Consider the following 5,022-nt stretch of genomic DNA (forward strand, 5'->3'; position numbering starts at 1 on the left):
TAAATTTGGATATTCGTCTCTACATTTTCCATTGTTTCCAAGAGTAAGGGGAAACTGACCTAGTGTAGGGATGTCCATATGAGGCCCGACCCTATGGAAATCTCTAGGGGAGCTTGAGGAGTGCATTAAAGTAAGACACGCCCATGCTGGTCAGTAGAACCCACCCTCAGGTTTAGAAAGTGACTGTAATCAGCAAGAGATACCCCCGTGTACTCCCTTGAGGTGGTCACCAGAGGCCACGAAGCAAAAGAAGTGGATATGGGGGAACCACAGTGACGCAGAGATGGGCTGAATCGAAACACATTCCTCTTGCTCTCTCTCAGGCACATGACACCAATAAGAGCTGTTCTGTCTAGCAGCGGGAGAGACAGAGACTGCCTATAGCTATGAGGCAGATTCCCTGATGAGGAGGCCCTCAACATACTTGGAAAGTGAGACTGAGGGCAGTGCCCTGGGGGGTACAGGTGAGTCTCGACAGCAACAGAAACTGACTGTGGATTGTCTTTTCCTTACCTGGTGGAGGCTGCAAATGCCCAGAGTGCTATTAATATAAAAGAACTGAAAGAAGGTATTATTCTAGTTTGGACCACTAAACCGAACTTCCTTGGACCGAGAAACAGGCTGTTCAGTGCATAATGTTTAGCAATGGGCAGAGAGATATCCTCCTTAGAGTAATAATTTGATAGGGAAGCGGAACAGTCAACTGAAACATTGATTGTCTAAAATGGGGGGAGACACAGGCATGAAGGGCTGGCTTCCACACCTTCACTGGTGTGTGCCCCTACTCCACACGAGTGGGCTAAAGGAGTGTCCCCACCAGACTTTCCTCCATTTTTCCAGTGGATCTGGGGATGAGGGGGTGGGGAGGATGCTAGTATAATGACTGTCATTTTGTTGTTGTTGTTGGGTTTTTTTGAGACACAGTCTCACTCTGTCACCCAGGCTGTAGTGCAATGGCATGATCTCGGCTCACTGCAACCTCCGCCTCCCAGGTTCAAGTGATGCCTCCTGAGTACCTGGGACTACAGGCCCCCGCCACCATGCCCAGCTAATTTTTGTATTTTTAGCAGAGACAGGGTTTCACTATGTTCGTCAGGCTGGTCTCAAACTCCTGACCTCAGGTGATCTACCCACCTTGGCCTCCCATAAGTGCTGAGATTACAGGCATGAGCCACCGCGCCCGGCCAATGACTGTCATTTTTGTCTTTCTTCCCCGCATTACCTCAACTCTCCCCTCCTCCCCACCCACCACCTGGTGCAGTGGCCACAGGACCGGGGCTACAACTACAAGTGCTGGAAGCAGCGACGACTCCTAAGCCAGGAACTGAGACTATGTGTTTAGACTTTTCTGTCAATTTTCTTACAGACCTGATGGGTGTGGGTTGTGCTTTGCCCCACCTGGCAAAATAGAAGCTAACCGTATATGCAGCTACATTGCCTGATATGGTTTGGATGTGTGTCCCTCCAAATTTCATACTGAAACAGGATCTCATGTTGGAGATGGGCCTGGTGAAGGTGTTTTGGGTCATGGGGGAAGAACCCTCATGAATGGCTGTCTGCCTCCCCACAGTAGTGAATGAGTCCTTCCTCTATTAGTTCACTCGAGAGCTGGTTGCTTAAAGGAGTCTGGCACCTCTCACCTCTGTCTCTTGATCCCTGTCACCATGTGATGTGCTGGCTCCGCTTTGCCTTCTTCCATGATTGGAAGCTCCCTAAGGCCCTCACCAGAAGCTGAGCAGATGCAGGTGCCGTGCTTGTACAGCCTACAGGACTATGAGCCAAATAAACCTCTTTTCTTTATAAATTACCAAGCCTCACCTATTCCTTTATAGCAACGCAACATGGACTAATACATTGCCTATTGGTAAAATAGCCCACTAGTTCTGCACCTATGTAACCCTGCCCTATATGAATGGAAGTAGATTGAGGGGATACGCTTGCTGCATGAGTATTGCTGTCAGCAAGCTGGCCCATCACAATTCCTTTTAAAGTGGAAAACTTTGAATATAAGTGAAAAGAAGAAGGAGGAGGAGCTGAGAGTAAAATAATGAATAAATGGTTTATGTAATGGGGAAAATCTTGTATTACAGTAATACCAAGAAAGAGACGCAGAGGAAGAGAAGACATTGTCTCTTAGCTCAATTATCCCAGATGTCTGAGAGGGGGAAGCTCCATATTTGCTGAGACCTGTCCTGCTTTTGGAACCTGACAGGTGGAATGGAGGCCTAAAAACCTGAGTGGTCTCATCCTGGGATGCTTTTTTTTTTTTTTTTTTTTGAGGCTGAGTTTCTCTCTTGTTGCCCAGGCTGGAGTGCAATGGCGCGATCTCGGCTCACTGCAACCTCCACCTCCCGGGTTCAACTGATTCTCCTGCCTGGGCCTTCCAAGTAGCTGGGATTACAGGCATGTGCCACTACACCCAGCTAATTTTGTATTTTTAGTAGAGATGGGGTTTCTCCATGTTGGTCAGGCTGGTCTTGAACTCCCGAACTCAGATCATCCACCAGCCTCGGCCTCCTGAAGTGCTGGGATTACAGGTGTGAGCCACCACACCCGGTCCCTGGGAGACATTTGTATATGATATGATGCTGGAGTGGACTAATTATAAGTGACTGAGGAGGACCTAGTAACCTACCAGTATCTTTTGAATTGTGTATCGTTTTGCTATGAGGGAATCCATGGCCAGAGATCAGACTGATTTTGCTATGAGGGAGTCCATGCCAGAGATCAGTCTGGTCTCTGGCCATGGACTCCCTCATAGCAAAAGGATATGCAACTCAAAAGATCAAATATGTATTATTTTATTTGTGCCATATTTGATCTCTGCCCTGTTTCCTGCAACAAAGCTCTGAAAATCCTTGGAATCTCTCAAGTGATCAATGTGTTTTTTGTATGCCAGTGAAATGACTGATGGCTGGAGGCTCTTGGACAGCCTCGGGGTGGGGGGAACCAGCCTGTGATCAGAGGGTTGAACCTTCAGCCCCTGCTGAAGTTTTGCTTGGGTTTTGCTTACCTGGTGGAAGCTGCAAATGCCCTCCCCCATCCCAGCTTCTGGTGAGAGAAGAGGGGCTGAATGTTGAGGTGATCACCAATGGCCAGTGATCACTCATGCTTGAGCAATGAAGCCCCCAAAAAAGCCCAAAAAGAGGCCGGGCGTGGTGGCTCACGCCCGTAATCCCAGCACTTTGGGAGGCCGAGGTGGGCGGATCACGAGGTCAGGAGATCGAGCCCATCCTGGCTAACCCAGTGAAACCCCATCTCTACTAAAAATACAAAAAATTAGCCAGGCGTGGTGGCGGGCACCTGTAGTCCCAGCTACTTGGGAGGCTGAGGCAGGAGAATGGCGTGAACCTGGGAGGCGGAGCTTGTAGTGAGCCGAAATAGCACTGCTGCACTCCAGCCTGGACAACAGAGCGAGACTCCGTCTCAAAAAAAAAAAAAAAAAAAAAAAAAAAAAGCCCAAAAAGACAGAGTTCAGAGAGCCTCTGGGTTTGTGAACAAGTACACATCTGTATGTAGGGAGGGTGGCACCCTCTAATTCCACAGGGACAGAGCTCCTGCACTGGGCACCCTCACAACCCTCACCTTCTTCATCTGGCTGTTGATTGATATCATTAAAAATATCCTCTGTAATAAATTGGCAATAGCAGGTAAACTGTGTTCCTGGCTTCTGTGAGCTGGCCTAGTGAATGATGAAACCTGAGATGCAGAACATGGGAATTGTCAGTTGGTGGCTCCCATGTCAGGTTCTAATTAGCCTAGTTGTGGGGGAACCAGGAGTTTTCACAATGACTCAATGGCCAATGAAATTCTTATGAATTCACAGTTTATTGTGTGGCTTTTGCACATACACACTCATGCAAATATAGTCAACACACACAGGCGGTGATGAGACGGTGGGGAAGGGACCACAGTGAGCATGTCAGGAGACCAGCACGCTGACTGACACACTGGCAGGTCCGGGTTTCCTCAGAACATGGACCAGGGTGGGGGTCGCTGCTCTTCTTCCATAGCCCATGGGAAAGAGGCCTCAGAGTTCTTGGGGGCAGAGCTGCAGCAGCTGCTTGGCTATGGTCAGAGTCTTTGCGGTTTTTATGGCCCTCTGCAGGCTTGTCTGTAGCCAAGATCTCAGCTGCCTTCTGGCTTCACTTGCTTGTCTGGTCTAGGGGGTGCCCGTCCACAGCAAATCCTCTTATCACCTCAGTCCACCACACATACGCTTCTCACTCTGAGGGGTCAGCAATTTCAATGTGGGCTGATCCTCTGTCACAAGTGAATTTATTTTGAGACATTTAGGGTCACCAAACACTAATATATATCAGTAGCTAAGTCAGACAGAAGGCGTGGACGACTTGGGGACACTGTATTAGTCTGTTTTCACACTGCTATAAAGAATGGTCCGAGCCTGAGTAACTTATAAAGGAAAGTAGTTTAATTGACTCACAGTTCCACATGGCTGGAGAGGCCTCAGGAAACTTACAGTCATGGCGGAGGACGATGGGGAAGCAGGCACCTTCTTCACAAGGCGGCAGAAGGGAGAGTGAATGAGGAATTGCCAAAGCCTTATAAAACCATCAGAAGTTGCGAGAACTATCATGAGAACAGCATGAGGAAACCAACCCCACGATCCAGACATCTCCCACCACGTTCCCCCCTTGACATGTGGGGATTACAATTTGAGATGAGATTTGGGTGAGGACACACAGCCAAACCATATCAGACCACCTGCTTGTGATTTGCACCTGAAGTGGGGGGAGTCTGTGGCACTGAGTCCTTGCCCTGTGGGGTCGGCACTACCTCCGATTTGTGTCAGAAGTGAATTGAATTGGCTGGGCGTGGTGGCTCATGCCTGTAATCCCAGCACTTTGGGAGGCCAAGGCAGGCGAAGCACGAGGTCAGGAGATCAAGACCATCCTGGCTAACAGGGTGAAACCCTGTCCCTACTAAAAACCATAAAAAATTAGCCGGGCGTGATGGCGGGCTATTGGGAGGCTGAGGCAGGAGAATGGCGTGAACCCGGGA

General features: G+C 49.1%; 1 annotated feature.

Annotated features, from left to right (window-relative positions):
- Positions 777-957: a silencer, noted in NCBI's record as "fragment chr8:23025986-23026166 (GRCh37/hg19 assembly coordinates)". NCBI's record gives its function as "represses an EF-1alpha promoter that drives an FKBP-Casp9 reporter gene in an ReSE screen in HepG2 liver carcinoma cells and phorbol 12-myristate 13-acetate-treated (for megakaryocytic differentiation) K562 erythroleukemia cells {active_cell/tissue: HepG2 | K562(+PMA)}" and the evidence as "EXISTENCE:reporter gene assay evidence [ECO:0000049][PMID:32094911]".

Source organism: Homo sapiens, chromosome 8 (assembly GCF_000001405.40).
Source record: "Homo sapiens chromosome 8, GRCh38.p14 Primary Assembly".
Lineage (NCBI taxonomy): Eukaryota > Metazoa > Chordata > Mammalia > Primates > Hominidae > Homo > Homo sapiens.